This window comes from Homo sapiens, chromosome 1 (assembly GCF_000001405.40).
Source record: "Homo sapiens chromosome 1, GRCh38.p14 Primary Assembly".
Taxonomy (NCBI): Eukaryota; Metazoa; Chordata; class Mammalia; order Primates; family Hominidae; genus Homo; species Homo sapiens.
Genome location: NC_000001.11, coordinates 77,614,243 through 77,638,183, shown reverse-complemented (window position 1 = coordinate 77,638,183; position 23,941 = coordinate 77,614,243). Strand labels below are relative to the sequence as shown.

The 23,941-nt window shown below is 36.5% G+C and overlaps 1 protein-coding gene and 1 pseudogene across 22 annotated transcripts in view; one reads left to right on the top strand and one right to left on the bottom strand.

The window, feature by feature from the left end:
- Window positions 1-23,941, top strand: part of ZZZ3 (zinc finger ZZ-type containing 3) — a 120,983-nt gene that overhangs the window by 45,215 nt on the left and 51,827 nt on the right. For 9 of the 22 annotated variants that reach the window (NM_001376151.1, NM_001376149.1, NM_001376147.1 and 6 more), the window contains one exon: window positions 4,779-6,334. The exons of 10 other annotated variants lie outside the window; for them this stretch is intronic. In NM_001376151.1, the coding sequence (NP_001363080.1) occupies window positions 4,830-6,334 (1,505 nt within the window). In that variant the 5' untranslated portion in view covers window positions 4,779-4,829. Of the gene's footprint in view, window positions 1-4,778; window positions 6,350-23,941 lie in introns of those variants that run through there. 3 more of the 22 variants (NR_164775.1, NR_164777.1, NR_164776.1) reach the window with 1 other exon arrangement.
- RNA5SP20 (RNA, 5S ribosomal pseudogene 20) lies at window positions 23,232-23,315 on the bottom strand (annotated as a pseudogene).

Below are 23,941 nucleotides of genomic sequence, written 5' to 3'. Positions count from 1 at the left end.
CAAGAGGATGAGAATTTATGAAGGTGGGGAAGAGAGGGAGGGAGTCTGGTTAATTCTAGTTACTGACCACACTCTTTTTTCTCTGAATTCTAGAAAGTGCAACCATTCATTATTTGGTAGATAACATATAGGAAAAACTCCAGTGTAGTTGTTAGTTAGATTGCGTTTTGCCCATATGAATATGTTAATTAATGGCTTCCCTTATTTCTAAAACTAGATTGATTGCATTTCTAATTTCAGATGGATGCTGGCTAAGGTTTTTACCATATACCTCTTATTTTGTTAGCCAACAGGGTTATTTCCTGAGATAATTTGTAAATAAGTTCATTTTTATTCCTTAACAATATTTGGCAGAAATATAATTTTGTACTCTAAGCTTCTTTATTGTATTCTTAAGAAACATTTTGCAATGCAGCTAAAATGAGGAAAACAACTGCTTTAGTCTATAATATTTTGCTAAGCTTGGCAAAACAATGTTGAGACTTGGTTGAGATAATACAGACTTTTTATTTTTTATTTTCTAACAGAAAGGGTCTCACTATTGTCCAGGCAGTTCTCAAACTCCTGGGCTCAAGTGATCCTCTTGCCTCAGCCTCCTGAGTATCTGTGACTGTAGGTGCCCCCACTTCCCTGCCCCTGCACCTGGCTAATCTAGACATTTTTGGTCCCTTTTTATTAACTGAATTTTGCACTCAGTTTATTAGATAATTATAGAAAGTGTGTACCTTTATATATGCCTATCCAAAATAGAAAAGATATGAAGAAAAAGGTTAGAACAGAAAAAAATGATCAGAGGGAAGATTAGCAAAATTTTGTTTAACTCTGATCTTAATAATTTTAACCAGTTTATTACCTCAAGTGCACATCACATGTTAATTTCAGGTAAGATTTTTTATAGTCTTCCATTTGGTGCTTCCTTGGTCTTATTTATAAATTTTTTTATTATTAGGATCCAGTAAGAAATTAAAGGGTATTTTATAAATAGTTCTAATTTAGTTTGAAACTTGATGACTATTATCTTATTAGAATTCTGTCTGGGTTCACTAGCCTAAGGCAGTGCTTCTCAAACCCTAATACATACATGAATCACCTAGGAGCCTAATTCGTTGGTAGGTCTGGGGCGGAGCCTCGTATTCTGCATTTCTAACAAGCTTCCAGGAGATGCCCGTGATTGAGCTGCAAGAGCCTGAGGTACCACAAGGATCCTTGTTATAAAACAAGTTCTCTTTCAATACAGCCCAATAGCACAGAATTTGACAATCCTAGCACTAGGGCTTTGTTCTAGTTATTGAGTGAAATAAAAGCATTTTTAGGGTACAGAAGAAATGGAAAGAACCTTAATCTTTTATATTAATCAGTGTTTTCATATTTTATTTAACTTTTGTATTAATCAGTGTTTTCATATTTTAATCAGTGGAATGGTGAAAAATTAAGATAGGCCTTACTATACGTGATTTTTTTTTTTTTTTTTTTTTTTTCAAGACAGGGCCTTGCTCCCATCACCCAGGCTGAAGGGCAGTCACATCACTACACCCTTGACTTCCCAGGCTCAAGTGATCCTCCCACTCAGCCTCCCTAGTACCTGGGACTACAGGCAGGCTTCACTACACCTGGATAAATTTTTTGTATTTTTAGTAGAGACAGGGTTTCGCCATGTTGCCCAGTTTGGTCTCGAATTCCTGGGCTCAAGTGATCCACCTACCTCGGTTTCCCAAAGTCCTGGGATTACAGGCCTGAGCCACCATGACCAGCTTATAGGTGATATTTTATAGTAAAGAATATATGTATAAAAAAAAGGTTTTTAGTACTACTAATAATAGGTTCATTTCATCCAAAATAGTCTCTCTTTGAGAAGTTTGTACTGCAAGGCAAATTTTGCTCCCATTCAGATTGGTGTGGAAAGAAAAGGTTAAGGAAGTCTTATTATTGGAATAATTTAAGAGGTTTTTATGCCCTTAATTGGGATTGCATTTTAAAAAGTAAAGACTAACAGATTCTTTTGTGTGTTTATAAAGTATTTCTATTGTCAGTATTATTTTTGAACCATAAATTATGAGTATAGTTGAATTTACATTAAAGATAATATGTATTAGATTTTGTAGGCATTTTAGTTATTAAATTTAACTTAGCCTTATGCTTTTTTTGTGCATTTACATACATATTTAATATTTAAAAATAAGTAATCTTAACCCTTTAGAGTGCCAGATTTGGATACATGAAACAAGTAAGTTGCTTTTCATGTATTTCAGTTTGTGTTCTTTTCTTTTTATTTTTTTTTGAGACAGAGTCTCGCTCTGTTGCCCAGGCTAGAGTGCAGTGGCGCGATCTCGGCTCACTGCAACCTTTGCCTCCTGGGTTCAAGCGATTCTCCTGCCTCAGCCTCCCGAGTAGCTGGGATTACAGGCATGTGCCACCATGCCCTACTAGTTTTTGTATTTTTAGTAGAGACGGGGTTTCACCATGTTGGCCAGGCTGGTCACGAACTCCTGACCTCAAGTAATCCGTCTGCCTTGGCCTCCCAAAGTACCGGGATTACAGGCATGAGCCACTGCCCCTGGCCAGTTTGTGTTCTTTTAAAACATCATTTGAAGTTTAACTTAAATGTTTTACAATTAAAAGTGGAAAATTATGGGACACTCAGTGTTTGTTACCCATGAAAGAAACAGATTGTAATCTTCATGATAATATATTAGCAAACGATAATTAAATGTCAGCTGTTCTTTTAATGAATCCCCCAAACAATGAAAGTTTACTACTGTAAGAAATGTGTTTCTAAGTTCTGATTTGTGTCTTGTACTTATTGTTCACTTGGTTGCTATGAAATTCTGTAGAACATATAACCATGCTTTAATTCCAGGGCTAGTTTTGTGATTCTTATAAGATTTAAAAAAATTGTTAATTAAAAATTTAAAAGTATGCCATACTTTGAGACAACACTAAACTCAGGCAACTTAAATATTTTACAGGGTACTTTCTCACTTAATTCACTTGTCAGCAGGCAGGAACAGGGAGATTATTTCCTGTAGTGTTTCTTTTTTATATGTGGTAGCATGTTGCTGTGTCTTCTATAATTCTTCCAAACTTTCCACTGTTAGATAGTTCTAGTTGAAGCAAGGAGAAATTGTGTTTGATTTTTAGGGGTAGGAGTCAGAATGGCATTTGGAGGTTTACATGAGAAGGGAGACTGTTGATGACCAAAGGCAGGAGGAAGGGACTGTGAAACTTTGCACTATTGCCACCACTGGCCTCTTTCTCTAACTAATCATCCTGCATCTCATTCAAAGTTAGGAAATAAAATGACAGGGTACCTTGTGAAAACTAAACAGAAGAGGAGTCGGGGAATAGAGACTTCAAATATTAACAGCTCCTTTATTCTGCTTGATGGGAGAGCCTCTGGAAAATATCACCAAATCACTAGTTTACCCAAATGGATCAATCAAGGCATTTTTCTATATCCCTTACATTTCTGTCATATAAACCTCAAGCATCCACACCAGAATACCTGCTCATCTCCCAAACCACACATTAAAACTGGCACTGGCATATGCTATACACAGGAGTTCAAAGAAGGAAAGGGTGGGATTACAGGAGTAGTCTTGATTTCTTAAATGTAAGTATTTGCTTCAGAGGCTTCTTCCCCATTTTCTTTTCTGGTCTTTGGAACACTCCCTTTCACTTGCTAATTTATGGCTTTATTTCTAGAGACTAGGAAGGCTTGGGTTTGCTTTGTTTTGTTCTTAGCCAATGCAAGCTAGCATTGTGATTTTTGTCTATTTAGTTATGAAAAATTATACTGCAATAAAAAATTTTTGGATGCCAGATTATTATTAAGGGATTTGATCTGAAACTCATTTTAGCAAAAGTAAATTAAAAAGAGGAGAGCCTGCCTTTCTGTATACCGGGAACATTTTGAAAGAACACGAGAAATGATTGGAATAGTTTTTTGAAAGATAGCTGCTATATAAGTTCAAGATTATTATTTTATTTATTTTATTTATTTATTTATTTATTTTTTTGAGACAGTCTCACTCTGTCGCCCAAGCTGGAGTGCAGTGGCATGATCTCGGCTCACTGCAAACTCTGCCTCCCGGGTTCAAGTAATTTTCCTGCCTCAGCCTCCTGAGTATCTGGGATTACAGGCGTGTGCCACCACACCTGGCTAATTTTTGTATTTTTAGTAGAGACAGCGTTTCACCATGTTGGTCAGGCTGGTCTTGAACTCCTGACCTCATGATCCTCCCGCCTCAGCCTCCCAAAGTGCTAAGATTACAGGTGTGAGCCACTGCGCCCGGCCGAAGATTATTATTTTAATGACCAAAATGAAATCACATCTTTAGGATAGATCTCTTCTGGGTGTTTTATGCCTGAGAGGCAGATACACAGTGAGGCAGTTATGGTCTCTAGAGCCCTGCCTTGCTACTTACTAGAGTTGTGACCTTGGATAGAATATTCAGAGTGTGCTTTAATCTCATTCGTGAAGTAGGGATGATAGTAGCACCTATCTGAGTTGTTGTGAGACTTAAGTGAGTTAATGTATGTAAGGCATATAGAAAGACTCATGGAACATATTAAGTACTGTATGCTTGTTAGCTATAATTTATATCATTATTGGAAACGTTAAAGAATTTTTATCACATAATTTAATATTGGCAGTTATATAGATAGTTATAGACTGTAATGTCCAAGTATACTTGGATTAAAAAGTTATAGCTTTATACTTTCGTTCTGGGTATATTAACTATTACCTTTTTCTCATTATTTTGTTTACATTTTTGAAGGTTTCCCAATGAGTGGATCATGATGACCGTATTGTAGGGACTTGCCATAGTATGGCTGCTTCCCGATCTACTCGTGTTACAAGATCAACAGTGGGGTTAAACGGCTTGGATGAATCTTTTTGTGGTAGAACTTTAAGGAATCGTAGCATTGCGCATCCTGAAGAAATCTCTTCTAATTCTCAAGTACGATCAAGATCACCAAAGAAGAGACCAGAGCCTGTGCCAATTCAGAAAGGAAATAATAATGGGAGAACCACTGATTTAAAACAGCAGAGTACCCGAGAATCATGGGTAAGCCCTAGGAAAAGAGGACTTTCTTCTTCAGAAAAGGATAACATAGAAAGGCAGGCTATAGAAAATTGTGAGAGAAGGCAAACAGAACCTGTTTCACCAGTTTTAAAAAGAATTAAGCGTTGTCTTAGATCTGAAGCACCAAACAGTTCAGAAGAAGATTCTCCTATAAAATCAGACAAGGAGTCAGTAGAACAGAGGAGTACAGTAGTGGACAATGATGCAGATTTTCAAGGGACTAAACGAGCTTGTCGATGTCTTATACTGGATGATTGTGAGAAAAGGGAAATTAAAAAGGTGAATGTCAGTGAGGAAGGGCCACTTAATTCTGCAGTAGTTGAAGAAATCACAGGCTATTTGGCTGTCAATGGTGTTGATGACAGTGATTCAGCTGTTATAAACTGTGATGACTGTCAGCCTGATGGGAACACTAAACAAAATAGCATTGGTTCCTATGTGTTACAGGAAAAATCAGTAGCTGAAAATGGGGATACGGATACCCAAACTTCAATGTTCCTTGATAGTAGGAAGGAGGACAGTTATATAGACCATAAGGTGCCTTGCACAGATTCACAAGTGCAGGTCAAGTTGGAGGACCACAAAATAGTAACTGCCTGCTTGCCTGTGGAACATGTTAATCAGCTGACTACTGAGCCAGCTACAGGGCCCTTTTCTGAAACTCAGTCATCTTTAAGGGATTCTGAGGAGGAAGTAGATGTGGTGGGAGATAGCAGTGCCTCAAAAGAGCAGTGTAAAGAAAACACCAATAACGAACTGGACACAAGTCTTGAGAGTATGCCAGCCTCCGGAGAACCTGAACCATCTCCTGTTCTAGACTGTGTTTCAGCTCAAATGATGTCTTTATCAGAACCTCAAGAACATCGTTATACTCTGAGAACCTCACCACGAAGGGCAGCCCCTACCAGAGGTAGTCCCACTAAAAACAGTTCTCCTTACAGAGAAAATGGACAATTTGAGGAGAATAATCTTAGTCCTAATGAAACAAATGCAACTGTTAGTGATAATGTAAGTCAATCTCCTACAAATCCTGGTGAAATTTCTCAAAATGAAAAAGGGATATGTTGTGACTCTCAAAATAATGGAAGTGAAGGAGTAAGTAAACCACCCTCAGAGGCAAGACTCAATATTGGACATTTGCCATCTGCCAAAGAGAGTGCCAGTCAGCACATTACAGAAGAGGAAGATGATGATCCTGATGTTTATTACTTTGAATCAGATCATGTGGCACTGAAACACAACAAAGAGTATGTGTAAATATGGTAACCATGAATTCTGCTTTGTTTATTATTCCCCAAGTTTTTCAGTATCTATTCGTAGTGTTTTTATTACAGCCAAAATTAATGTTTTCACTAAAATTTTAGGTTTAATATGATTTTCTCAACTCTTAGAAAAACTCCAAAAAAAGACTTAAACTCAACTTTACACGTGTGTTCTATGACAACATGGTCTTTCCAGTTCTGATATTTCATGTCTCAATTAGAAAAGACATGGTTGGTAGTGTTTTTGTTTTTTTAATATGTTTTATATCATTTTTAGTTAATTTATACAATGGAAACACATTGAGTTACCACAGTATGCTTTGATTTATAGTTCTAGATAGCATAGGACAATTAATGAGTGCTTAGACATCATCCAGATATGTGAAGTCTGGCAGGCTTGACATCTACTTTTATCTTACTTACATTTAATTCCCAATTAAAATTTTTTATTAAAAAATGTGCTTTATGCATCATCTTTGACTTTGACTTAGAGAAGTGGATATTACTATTAACACTATGACAGTATATTGTAATTAGCATATTAGCAAGGGTTAGTCTACTGGATAGTTTACATAAAACATTTGACATAGCTTTTCCTGATACTAAATATAAAGGAAGACTATCTTAAAATATTATCAGCTCTCAACCTTTGCTAAGTCACTGTTGTAAATAAAGAATTCTGTATCCAAATTTTTCACAATATTTCTTGCCTAGATTTCCTATAAAGTATTCAGGGCCATAACACAAAAGATTTGGAGCTTACTATGTCTAGATAATCCTGAAAAGAACTAGAACACACAGTGCTCATCATAAATATCATGATTAGCAACAATAAAAGACAGACTTATGTAATAAGTTAATTACCTTTATTGCTACAGGGTAGGCTTTTGAATTAATATCACAACCAGATTATATAGACTGTACATAAATACTTTGATTTGAGGAACATTTCTAGTGGTTTTGTTGTGACAATTGCCAGACCCTGGTATGTGTCAGATCAAAGTATCAAATCCTGGTTGTGGGACATAATATTTTTTTTGCCATGCATTGTAGATAGTGTAGATTTGTATATGGTAATACAGTGGTCTTTCAGCATAGGCCCCTTCTGAAAAGTTTTCTTCTGCTTTCTTTTGAAATACTATCTTAATATTGTATTTGATAGTTCATGTCATCTGAGCATTTTACAATTTTGTGAAAATGTTAGGAGTCTCGAGTATTTGGAATATTTGAAGTCCAGTTTTAGATAGCAAAACAACTCATAAATGAAGTTTTTTTTGTATTAGAAATAAGTTGAGTTCTGCTGTTCATATATACTGTCAGTTTTTTTGTTTGTTTGTTTGTTTTTGTTTTTCGTTTTTTGAGACAGCATCGCACTTGTTGCCCAGGCTTGAGTACACAGGTGCAATCATGGCTCACTGCAACCTTGACTTCCCTGGGCTCAAGCAATCCTCCCATCTCAGCCTCCCAAGTAGCTGGGACTACAGGCACATGCCACCACTCCTGGCTAATATTTTTTTGTATTTTGTAGAGGCAGGTTTTCACCATGGTGCCCAGGCTCGTCTTAATCTCCTGGGCTCGATTGATCCTCCCACCTCAGCCTCCCAGAGTATTGAGTATAGGCATGAGCCACTGCACCTGGCCTAGTATCAGTTTTTAAAAGTAGACCTGTTTATCTGCAGTGCAGGGAAGGAGAGCGTATGTCTTAGGAAAATACCAAAAACTAAAGAAATGTGAATTTTTATAAAATGATATATGTTAGTTCTGTTCTTTGCTTTTTATTGTTTTAGTCTTGACTCGTTATTGATTGTGGAAATTTTTTTTCTAGTAATTCACTACAGTATTACTTTTTGTAAGAGATTGCCCGATAATAATTCTGAAGGATGATGTTCACATAAAACAGTTACCTAAAGATACAGTCATAACATTGATATTCCACATTCATAACCCTTTGAGGATGAGAACAATACAGCTTAATTGGTGCTTTTATACATTTTATATAGTGTGCTTTTATATGTTTATTTTTCATGTGTTCCTTAAGATATAGAGACTCCTTTGGAATTTGGATGCTAGTTGCTTTGTTAGAACAGTGTTTTCAAATTAATGCCTCATTGGGTGACATTGGGGAAAAAATTACTGATTCTTGCCTTTTTGCCTTGCTCCAGATCTTTTGAAGGATAGCACTTTTTTTGTTTGTTTGTTTTTTGTTTTGGAGACAGAGTCTCACTCTGCCACCCGGGCTGGAGTGCAGTGGCACAGTCGTGGCTCACTGCAGCTTTGACCTACCTCCCAGGCTTAGGTTATCCTCCCACCTCAGCCTCCCAAGTTGCTGCTGGGACTACAGGTGTACGCCATCACACCTGTCTAATTTTTTGTAATTTTAATTGAGACAGGGGTTCGCCATGTTGTCCAGGCTGATCTTGAACTCCTGGGTTCGAGCGATCTGCCCGCCTTGGCCTCCCAAAGTGCTGGGATTACAGGCATGAACCACCTAACCTGGCTAGGATCGCACTTTTGAGACTTTTCTCTTTTTTCTTTTTTTTCAAAGGAAGCAAATCAGAAATGAGATGGAGTATCATGATTAGCATCTCAGAGCTAATTTAAGGAAAATTGGGAGAGGGTGTTTGATCATGTCAGATCTAATCTCTTTCAGTAAAGTCTCTTTCCTCCCCCATACCTTCATTGTCTAGAGCCAAGAGTTGGTTGGATATAATGTTGGCTCTTTTTAATCCAAGTTGCCATCGCTAAAAGTAGCATCATGACACCTGTCTGGTGCTTTCAAGTCTCAAGTAAATTTCTGGCAGTTTGAAAATGATGTTAAAAAGCACTTGGGTTTTAAAAAAAGGCACTTGAAGGAGATGGTTTATTCTCCTCCTGTACACACATATGTACATACCTTGTCAAATGTTACTTCTCTTCCTTATTCTCCCTGTGCTAGAAACGTTCTCCAGGTAATTGCTTTTTGAAACCGAGGTTGAGCATTGCCCAGCCTAAATATGAATATCTCTACCAGTAGGGAATGAATACTTCTTGATAGCCAGTTTTAAAAGTAAGTTGTTAATAGAAAATACTGAGCATGGCATAATTCTTTGTCTAGAGCCAGGAGGACATAACTCTGTGTTATTCTAGTTGAAACTTTTCCTCTAACCTAACAGTGATCAACAGCCTTCTATCCTAGTGTTCAGCTTACAGTTTATCTGTCTTGTGTGCAAAGATATCCCATATAAGGTCATCCGATCACTTGTAAATGTTTGCGAAAGTATTGTGTAGAATCCTAGTCTTAGATGTGATTTATAGTAAATTAGGCATTAGACCAGGGAAACAAATCTGTGGATGTTCTGGGTACTAGCTTGATGCCTCTCTAGATGCCATCCCTCTTCTCTAGCGCATAAATCCACAGTGTGCTTTTATATATTTATTTTTCCAAATGGAGAACCCCACTGTGAGAAAGGGACCAGAGAATATCTTTTTCTCTGGCAAGATTCCATCTGTGGATTATTTTATTAGACATGCCTTCTGAAAGATTAGGGGTGGAGGATCAAAAGAAATATTCTTTATCTGAAGGCTCTTTGATCTTCAGGGTTGATAGAATCTGTTAAAGTGTTAGATAATACAGTACCTAATGATTTCTTTTTAGGCTTAAATAGCCTCACTGAATGAGATTATTTACTTAACTGTGATTGCCCTTTCTGTTTCGGAATTGACCTTGCTAATTTTTGAATCAGGAGCACTGAAACAGATCTCTAAATTTTGAAGGTCTGGCTCTAGGAAGCACAAGTGTGGAAGATTTTAGGTCTTAGGTTTTAATGTTCAGAGCGTTTCTTCCAATTCAAAACGTAATCACTGGAAAATAAACTTCTAAATGAAAATGTGCTTTGGTCAGCTGCCTCTGAATTATCATTGTGCAACATTACTTAAATAAATTTGTGTTTGAAAGACCTTGGGTATCTTCATTTAAGGATCTTTGGTATTATAACATTTCATGAACAGATAAGGGGGTGAAAAGTCAAATTTAGGGATTCTAGATTCTTGAGCTCTTACAAAGATTAACTCATTGATAACAGATTGCTAACATTTATACCAGTTCTTAAGTTTCTAGATAATGAACCTGTAAGATAGTTATTGCTCATCTAAGAGTGTTGCTCAGGTACTCTGCAGGTGAGAATATTATTTTCAAGTCACGTTTAAGAGTTTCTAAGAATTGTGTTAAACTTGGATTTTGGAAAACGTTAATGATAGTAAATAATTATAATATGTCCTTCTTATTGCACCATGCTTATTTCATAGTTGATTAAACAAACATTTGATATTTTCATCAATTTTGGAAGCTGCATAGAGAAAATCTTAATCAGTTCTTGGAGATTTACTTATTGAGAGTCTACTTTTACTGTTGGTCAAAGTAATTTCTTTCAAGGGGCCAGAAAAACTCCAGGATCTTGCTTAAAAATCACTAGAGGAGTCATCCTACCCTGAATAAGATAATTTTACATCTGTATTGTGCTTCATAATTTACAAAGCAATTTCATTAGTTTCTCATTTGACTATCATGACAGTTTGAAAGTAGACAGGATAGGCACCGTTATACAGTCCCCATTTCCTAACTCGTAATTAAGAATTTTAGATTATTAATTTTAAGTAATATAATGAATTACTAAATAGGATCAAACTTCTATCTTTTAATTACTAGTTTGAACTATACTTGGTTACCTCATCCAGTGAGGACTTACTTCATGGGCTTTTGGGTTTCTATGTTGAGAACCCTCATGGAGCAGATCTTGGGGACTCAGTTGTCAGGAATTCTTTACCCTGAGGTTAGGTTCTGTAATTGTAGTCATGATTATCTGATTTTTATTTGTTACAGAATCAGCATTATAGGTAAGTACTTTGCTTTATTTATTGAATGAAATACTTTCATGTTCATTATTTTAAAGAACATCTTATTTGTGAAGAATAAACTGGTGAAATAAAACTATGGCTGTAGCTTGATTTCAAATAGAGGATTTGAATAATATGAAAAGAATACTCTGGGGTATTTTAGAATGCGGTAGGTATATTAAAGTCAAAGATTACTAAGGAAAACTCATGCTTGGTGTACCTTCTCAACTCACCAGAAAAGGCTGTAGAATAATAGCCGGATTTACCCCTCTGGTCTGGCACAAAGATTAATGGGAAGAGAGAGGTAGCTTTCTAAAACAGGGGTCCCCAACCAGTCCATGGCCTGTTAGGAACTGGGCTGCACACCAGGAGGTGAACAGCACCTCCTGTCAGATCAACAGTGAAATTAGATTCTCATAGGAGCACGAACTCTATTGTGAACCATGCATGTGAGGGATCTAGGTTGCACGCTCCTTATGAGAATCTAATGCCTGATGATCTGTCACTGTCTCTTATCACCCCCAGATGAGATCGTCTAGTTGCAGGAAAACAAGCTTAGGGCTCCCACTGATTCTACATTATGGTGAGTTGTATAATTATTTCATTAGATATTACAATGGAATAATAAGGATAATAGAAATAAAGTACACAGTAAATGTAATGTGCTTGAATCATCCTGAAACAACCCCATCACCCAGTCTGTGGAAAAAATTGTCCTTCATGAAACCAGTTCCCAGTGCCAAAAAGGTTGGGGACTGCTGCTCTAAAATATGTAATTTTTGCTTGTAAGTAGAGTAAGCCATTGACTAACCAAAACATTAAGTGAATTTTTTGCTTTTTCCTTTGAATACCAACTTGTTTTGTTTCAACTACTGTAGATGGTATCTAAAAGTGATTCTCTGCTGTAATCCAAGTATATTTGTACCCAAGTATAATTTAACCTTTTCTTTTTTTTCTTTTTTTTTTGAGACAGGGTCTCACTCTGTCACCCAGGCTGGAGTGCAGTGGTGCCATCTCAGCTCACTGCAACCTCTGCCTCCCAGGTTCAAGTGATTCTCCTGCCTCAGCCTCCTGAGTAGCTGGGATTACAGACGTGCCACCACACCCGGCTAGTTTTTGTATTTTTTTTTTTTTTAGTAGAGACAGAGTTTCATCATGTTGACCAGGCTGGTCTCGAACTCCTGACCTCAAGTGATCCGCCCCCCTCAGCCTCCCAAAGTGCTGGGATTACAGGTGTGAGCCACCATGCCTGGCTTAACCTTTTCTTTTTGATTTAGGTTCATCTTTTTGACAGAGGTTATGAAGTAATACTTTTCTGGCATCATTGCCAGAATAGGTCTGTTTTTTTCCTGTGATAAATTATTTTGGGCTACTTGGTTTTTTATGTTCTTATAATCTGTTTCTTTTCTATGTTCTTTTCTAAGTTCTGTGACTTTTTATTGTTTTCTTCATTTTTGTTGGCTTTCATGAGTCACCTTCCTTTAGTAACTAAGACTTTCCTTCTAATTGACTGCTTTTAGTTTTCTCTGAAATTGGATATCAGAATAACACTTGTCAGAATTATGTCTCATGATTCTTTAGTGATTGATACATTGAGGAGTTTATCTTTGAATGAATATGTGTTAGTGTGTGGGATGTTTGATTGTGTTTTCTTGTTTGTATGCTTTCCGGTTTAGGGGCTGTGTTTCATGTAAGTTACCAGATCTAAATTCTGAACAGAGAAACAATAATTATTTCCTTATATATATGGTAAGAAAGACTCACTTAGCAATAAACCCCATCTAAAACAATTATTTATCTACAATTTTGACACTAATTGAAGCTTAGCTTTTAGTTGCAGAAACTTAATTTTGGTAATTTTTTATAGAAGTGTACAGAAAACCCAACTTTTTTCCTTCTATACTCACTCTGTCTCAGTACTTCACTTCTGACACCAGATCTATAGGAAACCTCAACTGTTTTTCTCTCTACTCACACTCAACACTTCTGTGACCAGATTTGTGGTGGTTTTTCCCACTGACCAATTCTCTGACTCAGTTGAATGTCCTATGATTCCATTCAATATTCTGACACTAACTGGAGTTAGTGCAGACCCCACAGGTTAAGGTCTCCATCCTACAAGACTGCCTCCCACTTCAGAAGCCAATCACAAATGGTAGGTCCTCAGGTTACCCACAGTTTCGGTCTGACTTGGCTACAAATTGGAGGGTCCCACCACCCCCTCCTCAGATTTGATAATTTGCTAGAGTGGCTCACAGACCTCAGGAAAACAATTTACTTATTACGGCTGATTAATTACAAAGGATATTTCGAAGGATCCAAATGAAGAGTCAGATGAAGAGATATGTATGTACGGCAAGGTCTGGAAGGGTCCCAGGCACAGAAGCTTTTTTTCCTGTGGAGTTTGGGTCAGCAACCCTCATAGCTCGTAGATGTGTTCACCAATCTAGTAGCTCTCTAAACTTTGTCTTTTAGGGGTTTTTCAAAATGGAGCTTCATTTCTCAGGCATGCATGATTATTAACTCAATCTCCAGCTCTTCTAACCTCCCCAGAGCACACAAGGGTTGGGGCTTGTAAGTTGTAATGATGGCTTGCTCTTTGTAATGACCATCCTCCACCCAGGACTCCACCCAGAGTGACTTTATTAGAACAAAAGGGTCTCCTATCATCCAGGAAATTCTAAGGGATTCAGGAACTCTGTGTCAGGCACTCCTGTCACTCAGGAAATTGTAGAGGTCTTAGGAGCTCTGTGTCAGGAACTGGGATCAAAGACCAACTATTAGGAACAAAGATTTTTCTAGCATCCCTATTTACAAGAGTTTTAGGAGCTCTATGCCCAGAACTGGGAGTAGAGACCAATATATTTACTTTTTATTATTTCACAAGTAGGCTTAGGAATGTTGTATTTTTACATATTAGTAAGAAGAGTATACCATATATGCTATTTTTTGTGTTGTTTCATGTTATCAGATATTGTAATGTATAGTAATAAATGGGAAGATCTGTGTTGTGATCTACTTCTCTCTTTTTTTTTGGTCTTACTTTTCAGTGGAATCTTTTTGTTTGTTTAACTTTTATTTCTTTTACTGTGGAAAGCTGCTTTTGTTTGTCTCTTTATTCTCTGATTTTAACATAGGGAAAATCTGAATGTGGCCAGAGGAGACTAATAATTTGTGCAGGACCCTCTCAGGCAAGATTTTCTGTGGTGTGCTGTGATTGAATTTTCACATGTCTACTAATCTTGGGAATTGGATTATAGACATTGTACATATGTTGCTGAGGGTCAGGATTTTGTTTTCTTTCCTTAAAAAATGTTGACATTTGTTCTGACAGGCAGTTAATTTGGGGATAAACTTGGTCCTGTTAAGGCTTATGCTTACCTTTGTTAGGGGAAGTACAGAGTAGCCTGTTCTCTAGATCTCGGTTAGCCTTCTATAGTATGGTCTTAGTGATATCTTGTTTAAAGAGGTAATTTACTATGGTTGATAGAATCATGAATGTTTCTAGCCTTATGAGGACACTGTTAGTTGTTCTTTATATAGCTCCTTGGTAGTTGTTCTTTGCTTGGTTTGTGGAGTCTCATCTTATGTGTGTGCAGCATTATATTCAGCCAGACTCAAGAGGACCTCTATGCAGATAGCATTGTTTGTCTTTCTGTGTTGCTTCTTCCTTTTTGATACTCCGTCCCACAAATTCTAGCCGCTTCAGCTTCCCCAAACTGTTTTCTGTCTCTCTGCTGAGCAACACACCTCCCTGTTCTATAGTACTGACAGTACTTCCAAGTAGAAAGAGAGGGTGATAATAGGGCTTATTTCATCTGTTTGCCTTCTCTCACAGATCACAGTTACATGCTGTCTGTTGTCTAATGTTTGGAAATAGTTATTATTTGTATATTTTCTCCAGTTTTGTAGTTGTGGATGGCAGGATGGCCATTCTGTGTCAGTTACTCTGTTATGACTGTAAGTGGATGTCTCTGATGTAATTTTAGTATGCACTGGGTATGTTTTCTTCCTATAATACTCAAACCCAAGCCTGCAGTTTGATTATCTGGGGATTACTGTGGGCGAGCTTTTACTTATACCTTAAAAAATAGTTTCAGCAACTTCTTTTTTTTAAAGAAGTTGAAGTCAGAAATTGTAACAGTAAGAATTTTAATTGAAGAATGATGGTAACTTCTACCTACTTGTTTTAGTTATGATTAGGTATTGCTGAGGTTGGAACAGAAATAAAAATTAGGTTACTGGTGAGATAAAGTTCTTGAGGATGGGTAAAAGAGAGAAGGTGACATACAAAAAGATATGAAACTTTTTTACTAGGTTTCAAATGGTAATTCTAAGAGTCTAAGAAATTACGTATTTGTTAGCTATTTTTCACAGATATTTCAAGGATTTTTGTTGTACCAGATTTGCTGTATAATATTTTAATAAAGCCATGGTGAATATGTTCTTTTTCAATCCAGTTTCTAGTAGATGGTTTTCTTTTTAAATAAATTTAAATGTAAAGTATTTTGGAGAAATCTATTTTTCCTTGTACTTTAATTTTTACCATTTGTGTTGGAAAAATTTGATTCAGGTTTTTTTTTTTTTTTTTTGCTATTTTTCATTTGTTTTACATTATCATTCCTTTTAGTTTATTTTGTTTGTTTTGTTTCTTTTGAGACAGGTTCTCACTCTGTCACCCAGGTTGTAGTGCAGTGGCACAGTCTAGGCTCACTGCAGCCTCAGCCCCTCCGGCTCAAGCAATCCTCCCACCTCAGCTGCCTGAGTAGCTGGGACTACAGGTGTGTGCCACCACACCTGGCTAATTTTTTTTTTTTTTTTTTTTTGTGGAGACAAGGCCTCATTATGTTGCCCAGGCTAGTTTTGAACTCCTGGCCTCTTTCCTCGGCCTCCCAAAGTGTTGGGATTACAGGCATAAGCCAGCACACCCGACCCTTCAGTTATTAACGCATTCATATATTTTAACTAAAGGTTCTCAAAACATAATTAAGATTATGCTTAAACTTTTAGTTGGAGGGAAGGATCATGTTACCGTCTTAACATGTGAGATGTGAGATTGAAAAAGTGTAAGATGTCAGTTAAGATTACAATAAAAACTGGAAGTATATTCTTTTTTCTTTTATCGTTATTATATTTATATTTTTTCAAGACAGGGTCTTGCTCTGTTCCCCAGGCTGGAGTACAGTGGTGTGATCATGCCTTACCGCAGCCTCGATTTCCTGGGCACAGGAAATCCTCCTGCCTTGGCTTCCCAAGTAGCTGGGACTACAGGTGCGTACCACCACACGTGGCTAATTTTTATATTTTCTTGTAGAGATGGGGTTTTGTCATGTTGCCCAGGCTGGTCTCAAACTCCTGGGCTCAAGCCATCCGCCCACCTTGGCCTCCCAAAGTGCTGGGATTGCAGGTGTGAGGCACCATGCCTGGACTTTTTTTTTTTTTTTTTAACTTAAATTTAAATTTAAATTTTTATTTCTTAAATTTTTTCCCAAACTCTTTCTTCACTGGATTTTTTTTTTAAAGGGAGGGTCTCACTCTGTCACCCAGGCTCAAGTGCAGTGACACAATCATGGCTCACTGCAGCCTTGAACTCCTGGGCTCAAGTGATCCTCCCGCCTCAGCCTTCTAATTTTATTTAATTTTTTTGTAGAGACAGGCTCCTTCTGTGTTGCCCAGGCTGGTCACGAACTTTGGGTGTCAAGTGATCCTCCCAAAGTCTTGGGATTACAGTTACGAGCCACTGTGCCTGGCCAGTAGTGTTTTTTGAGACACTAATTATAACTAGATAATGTTTTTATTTTCAAGATGCTTATATTATTTAGATCTAGAATCTCACTATATTGTTAAACTTTATCTTTAAATTATTTACCAAATCAAGGTGATTGGGCTAGATTTGAGGAACTCTACAACTGCCTTCCAATTATTTTTCGCTGGCAGTATGATGCTAAGCTTTTGTTTCTACAAAAAAACTTTATTTTGATTTCTGTAGTTATAATTAGTGTATTATATACATGGTTTTGGACTCACTTCTTTCTGTGTTCTTGCCCTTATTTTTGGCACTGCTTAGGCTTCAGTTACTGGCTTTGTTCTTCCTTTGCATCCTCTCTCTGGGTGTTCCCACTCACTGCTGTGGCTTAAATTACTATCTATATACTGATGAATTTTGAAATGCCTATCACCAGCTTAGATTATTCTTGAGTATCAGACCATTTAGTGGATAGCTGCATTTCCATGTCCCATAGTATACCCAGTGGAACATGTCTGAAACTGAACTTACTGCTTCTTTCATACTCACATTGAATATTCACGTTTTTTCCTTGATTTGGTGGAGTCTTTTACTTGCCCAATCCAGAAAAAGCAAAGTATTCTTCAACTACTTGTTTACTACACCTTCCTCTCCTACTGTTCTTACTGATTCAGCTCAGTTTCCTTCCTTCCTTCCTTCCTTCCTTCCTTCCTTCCTTCCTTCCTTCCTTCCATTCTTTCGTTCTTTCTTTCTTTCTAATGTAGGCCACTGTCATCTCTTTTCTGGATTACTTAACATACTTCCTTATTTGCTTTCTGTGGTGCTAGTTTACTTTGCCAATGAATTCTTATACTGTAGCTGGAGTAAATGTCTTAGAATAAAATCGACTCTTTAAAATGAATCATTGCATGATTTTTAAACATGTCTTTTACTGTCTGCCTCTCACTGTACATTCTATTCCAATTGAATCTTGATTTCCTTAGTTCCTTAATTATGTTCTCTCATTCTAGGCCCTCCTCATATGCCTAACTGCCTGCTCTACCTTTTCCCTGTTTTCTTGATTATTGTGCTACTTCTACAAAGCCTTTCTGAATTTAGACATCATATTCTCTGAGAAATCTTATCTTTAGGCCTGATTATTAGTTGCTCCTTGTGTGCTGTGTTGTAGTTATAATTGCCTGTAAATGTGTACAAGAGACCATAAGCTCTTTGAGAGAATCATGTCTGTCTGGTTGGTTGATGTATCGGTGGTGAAATTTCAAGCATTATACTGCTTTGAAAATGTCAGAGAAAAATTTAGCATGCTTTTCATAGTAGAAAAATTTAAATACCATTATTTGACTTTCAAGATTCTGAATTTTATATAGTGTTAGTGATTTTTTAACATTTAAATTTTCGAAAGAAAAATATGCGATATCATCATTCATATGGTTAATTTAACTCAGCTATGTGGAGACATATAAGAGGAGTCTCATGTTTACAGATGAGTTGTCCGAGTTTGTTACCTAGTGGTAAAATCATGTTTTTACATGGTCATATAAGAAATGTAAGTTCAGTTTTTAATAATACCAGACTCCCAAAGAGAAGTCATTGTGTTATAAAATAAATTTAGGTTTGGTATTATCAGAATGTTTTATATGATTGTAAATACAATTTTACAATCTAGAGTTTTGCCAGTAGGCATTAGAAGCCTACAGAGTGGTTAAGAATTTGATTGTGGTTGTCTTTACTGAATTGAAGGACTTGAAAGAAAATGTGTGTCCTTGCCTTTTTATGTGTGTCTGTTCTATTAAAGATTTTCAGTAGAGGATAGTACTCAACTTTCTTGGTTAAAAACTCATAATTTTGAGTAGATGCTACAATTAATTTAAAATGACATGTGCTGTGTCTTTGCAGTTACTATGAAATGATAGCCTACATATAGTTTAACATACATGTAGTTTGGGCTATATTTGAGGTATGTTGTTTGTTACAGTATTAGTTTTTAACTAGAAGTTACTAACTTGCCTCTGTTATATGAAACTTTTATGTATTTGTAATACTAGAATAAGAGGTAAACATTTTAGATTTTACAGTGGATTGTTTCATAGAATAGGTAATCTAAAATTCTGGAGTAGGGAAATATCAAGGGAATCTTGATCTGACTGGTTGTCAGGGGTTTTTTTCTAGATGATTGTGAAATTTTTATTCTGTTAGCTATAATATAGTTGCATTTAGCTTTCTATTTTAAGAGAGAAAACTCAAGAATTCTGTGGCATATATTTAGAAAAGCAGAACCTAGGGATAAATTGAAAAGGTCATCTTTTAAGGTCTGTTCCCATAAGAATCTTTGAGTCTTCAGGGGAAAAAGACCATTTTTTGAAGGTTATAATAATGTGATTAAAAAACACTGACAGATTGTTTTAAAATTTCCTATACAAGTTACTTAAATTCAGTGACTAGTAAATAACTTCTTTAAGCTATTTAAAACTAACAAGGACAATAAAGTTAAGGTAATCAGAACTTGTTTGCAGCTTGTTGCAGGAATCAGAAATTCACTCAGAGTATCTCAAACAACAAAGGGGTTTATTTTAAATAAATGATAGCAAACAATCTTGCGAATACTCATGATCAGAAAACAAATTCGAGGCAGACCTCATGAAATTATAACCTGTCAGTATTCAAGATTATATATACTCTCTCACCACTGCTTGTCTTTGTACAGTACAGGCTAGTTTTTCTTATTTTATTAATGTTTTTTGCACACTTTCTTCCTTTCCCCTGAAATTTCATTTTGCAGATGGCATTGGCTTCCTACTGTGCTTGTCATGATCCCAACTTTATATGACATTTTATTCCCAGAGCCTCGTCACAGTCTCTAAAGAGAACCTGGTTCTTGACTATCCAATAGATTGGCTTCCTTGGTCAGTCCATCCCTGGCCGAATTATCAATTGTCAGGGGTGGGATTATTGGACAAAAAAAAAAAAAAAAAAAAAAAAAAAAGGCTGCATTGGTCTACTCTTCTAGAGCAAGGGTATATCTTCCAGCAAAAAGGTATGTGGGCAGGTTGGTAGGCTGCCAAAACATGCCCATTATAGACCATTTAGCTTTTTGGGTAAAATTGTACTCTTGGTCAATTGTTTATAAAATAAGATATGGAAACACTAATACATTGCTGGTTGCAGGGTAAAATGGTGCACCCACTGTGGATAACAGTTTGGTGGTTCCTCAATAAGTTAAACATAGAATTACCATATGATTCAGCAATTCCACATTTATTTATTTATTTTTTGAGATGGAGTTTTGCTCTGTCACCTAGGCTGGAGTGCAGTGGTGCAATCTTGTTTCACTGCAACCTCCGCCTTCTGGGTTCAAGTGATTCTCTTGCCTCAGCCTCCCAAGTAGCTGAGACTACAGGTGCTTGTCACCACGCCTGGCTAATTTTTTTTTTTTTTTTTTTCAGTAGAGGCAGGGTTTCACGTGTTGGCTTGGCTGGTCTCCAATGCCTGACCTCAAATGATTCACCCACCTGGGCCTCCCAAAGTGCTGGGATTACAGGCATGAGCCACCACGTCTGGCTCAGCAATTCCACTTTTAGATGTATACTCCAAATAATGAAAGATAGGTGTTTAAACATGAACTTGTACACAGATGTTCACAGCAGCACAATTCACAATAGCCAAAAGGTAGAAACAGTTCAAGTGTCCATCAGCTGATGAATGGATACACAAAACAAGGTATATCAATACAATGGAATTGTATTCAACTGTAAAAAGGAATGAAGCTGCAATATGAATGAATCTTGAAACCATTGTACCAATGAAAGAAACCAGACACAATAGGTCATATATGTTTCTATTTATATGAAATAATCCAGAAGAGGCAAATTTATAGAGACTGAAAGCAGATGAATGGTTACCCAGGGGGTCGGGGAAGGGTAGAATGAGGACTGACTGCATAATGTGTATAGGATTTCCTTTTGGGGTGATGAAAATGTTTTGGAACTGGATAATGGTGATGGTTGCACAACATTGTGAATGTACTAAGTGCCACTGGATTATATACTTTAAAATGGTTAAAAAGGTAAATTTTATGTGATTTTTACCACAGACAGATGAAACTAAAGCGTGGGGGGATTAGTGCATACCAGGGTATGCACAAGATCATCCACTGGGAGATAGAAGAAAATACTACTTAGAGGTTTTTTGCTCATTTTAAGAATGTCTGGGTTTTTTGAAATACATTATAACATATATTTGTAATGCATTTAAGTATAGTAGAACATATAGTTTATAAGTAAGTGTACATATATTGGGAACATGCCTGACAATTTTTATTTTTATTTTTATTTTATTTATTTATTTATTTTAGAGACGAAGTCTCACTCTGTTTCCCAGGCTGGAGTGCAGTGGCGCGATCTTGGCTCACTGCAACCTCCGCCTCCTGGGTTCCAGCGATTCTCCTGCTTCAGTCTCCCTCCTGGGCTGGGACTACAGGTGGGTGCCACCACCCCCGGCTAATTTTTGTATTTGTTTTAGTAGAGATGGGGTTTCACCATATTGGCCAGACTGGTCTTGAACTCCTGACCTCGTGATCCACCCACCTCGACCTCCCAAAGTACTGGGATTACAGGCGTGAGCCTCCGCGCCCGGCTGACAATTTTAATTTTTTACCAGTAGAGATGCATAGAGCAAAAAGTGTGAAAATTGTTGTTTTTAATAAGGAAAAGCCACCTATTGCTCAATAATTTTTTACTTCAGCATTTAGGGGAAGTTTTTAAACACAGTGCCAGATTCTCTTGAAGTATATAGGTTACAGAATCCTAGTAACACATTTAGAGAAACTACAGGGTTCAATGGACATTTACTTAACAGTCTTGAAAATAACTTGGGTTGCTTTTAAGCAAATGGTGTCATCTTTTAAAACTGCACTGACATTTTAAATGTGGCAGGTGTTCCTAAGAAGAGCACCAGAGTGTTCTTGGGCATTAGAAACTTGTTAATGTTCTTTATACTCAGAAACTATGAAGCCAATAACACTAATGATAATAAGTATGAACATTTGGCGTTTAAAGAAAAATCAACGATTGAGGGGGGAAAGAGTCATGATTTCCTCAAGAGCAGGGGTAAGAAGCGTGTCTGACTAATTAATGAGAATTCTTTAAGAGACAAATTATTAGATAAAAATAACTCAGTGTATAATGTGTATAAACATTATACACAGTGTGTTCCATGTCATTGTGGTTATTTCCTTTTAAAATTGTGATTAAAAAGAAAAACTAGTTAATTTTGTGTGTGTGTGTGTGGTGGGGGGGCCCTTTGACACACAGGAATTATGTAGTGGTTACATTAGGTAGCATATGCCTGTAAGGTAGCACTACTGAATTACCAAGTTTTATCTAAAAAATAAAACCAAATAGAATGTTTTCCTCTTTATAAGAATCAGTACCTCACTTTACTGGACTCAATCCTTGTTGTTCAAAATATATTTGGAACTCAACTTTTGGAACAGTTTGCAGAATATCCTCAGTGGTGGCAGTTCCTTTTAAAGGATATTTAATTTTTACTAGAATTTTTAATTATGCAGAAATATGTAACATGGAGAAATATATTTTTTGTCAAAAATAAAATTATAAGTAGTGAAACTTATGTCCTTTCATGTCTCACTAACCTGAACTAAATGTGACTCATAAATTTGGCTCTAAAGAATTCTAGCAGAACAACTCCATAGGCATTTTGCATACGCACCATATAGCATGTAACACTTAGTGGACTGTTAATTTAACCATCTTTTTTCCTAGATTGTGAGATTGTTGAAGCTAGATGCCAAGTTTGTTTCTATGATGTACTTTCTCCATGTTGATTTTAACCGTTGTCATACTTGTTTAAAGATTCAGAATATTGTGTGGATATTTTTTCCCCTCTGTGTGTCTTTTTCTAAACATATTGGTAAAAAGCATTCTGGGAATTCATACTGTTATTGATAACCTTCTTTGATTATATTTTGTAATTCTGCATCTGTTGAAATTCGAATGACCCTTGGCTATCCAAAATTCATTTACTGTGATGTCACCATTTTTGTTGTTAGGTAGGAAGAAAGCTTCCTTGAATTGTTTGGTCTATTGATCATCAATTGTAAAAGCATAGAGAAAAGAGTGAGCAGTTGTACCAGTGTGGAGGCAGTGATTGCTCTGGATTCCTCCACTCTTGCTGCCACCACTGTGTCATCTGCACTACTGCTACCCCATTCAGTTAATGCTTCTCTGAAGAATGAATTTTTATTTTTTTTTAAAGCCTACCACTCCTGACCCTGCTTTGCTTCTGAGATCAGATGAGATTGGGCACATTCGGGCTGGTATGGCCATAAACATGAATGTTCTATTTATATTTTCTTCATTAATATTAGAAATAGATTTTAACATCTGGTTTCATGACCATGGTTAGAACCTGAAGTCCTGTTTTGATTTGAAAGTAGATAAATACTGTGTGGGATTTGGAACCTTTAGAACAAGAAATTTATCTAGTAACATATTCCCCTGTATATTGATTTACAGTATATTTAACTTATTAAAATTTATTTTTTCTCAAAGCTTAAAAAAGTGATATATAGTGTTAGGATTATTGGAACTTTATTTCTTTTCATGTTTTACATTTTTGCACTGAGTTTGTCTTGTAATATAATTAGAAAATATTTAAATAATGAAAAACAAAATTTAGTCTCATAAAGATATTATAGGGGATTTAAAAAGAAACCAACTTTAGTTTTCTTGTGCTGATGAGGAAACAGAACTAAGTTACAGAATCAAGAGACGTTAATGGGGGTCTTAGCCCTTAGCTGGGTAATCATGAAGGAGTCAATCTCTTTGAACTTCATTTTTTCAATTGTGAGATGAAGAGGTTGTGTTTATCCTTGAGGTGGTAACTTCTAGCCTTGTTACTCTATGATTACGTGGCATCTGTAGTTGCTGTTCCACTAGAGTCGGCTTAGGAGAGGC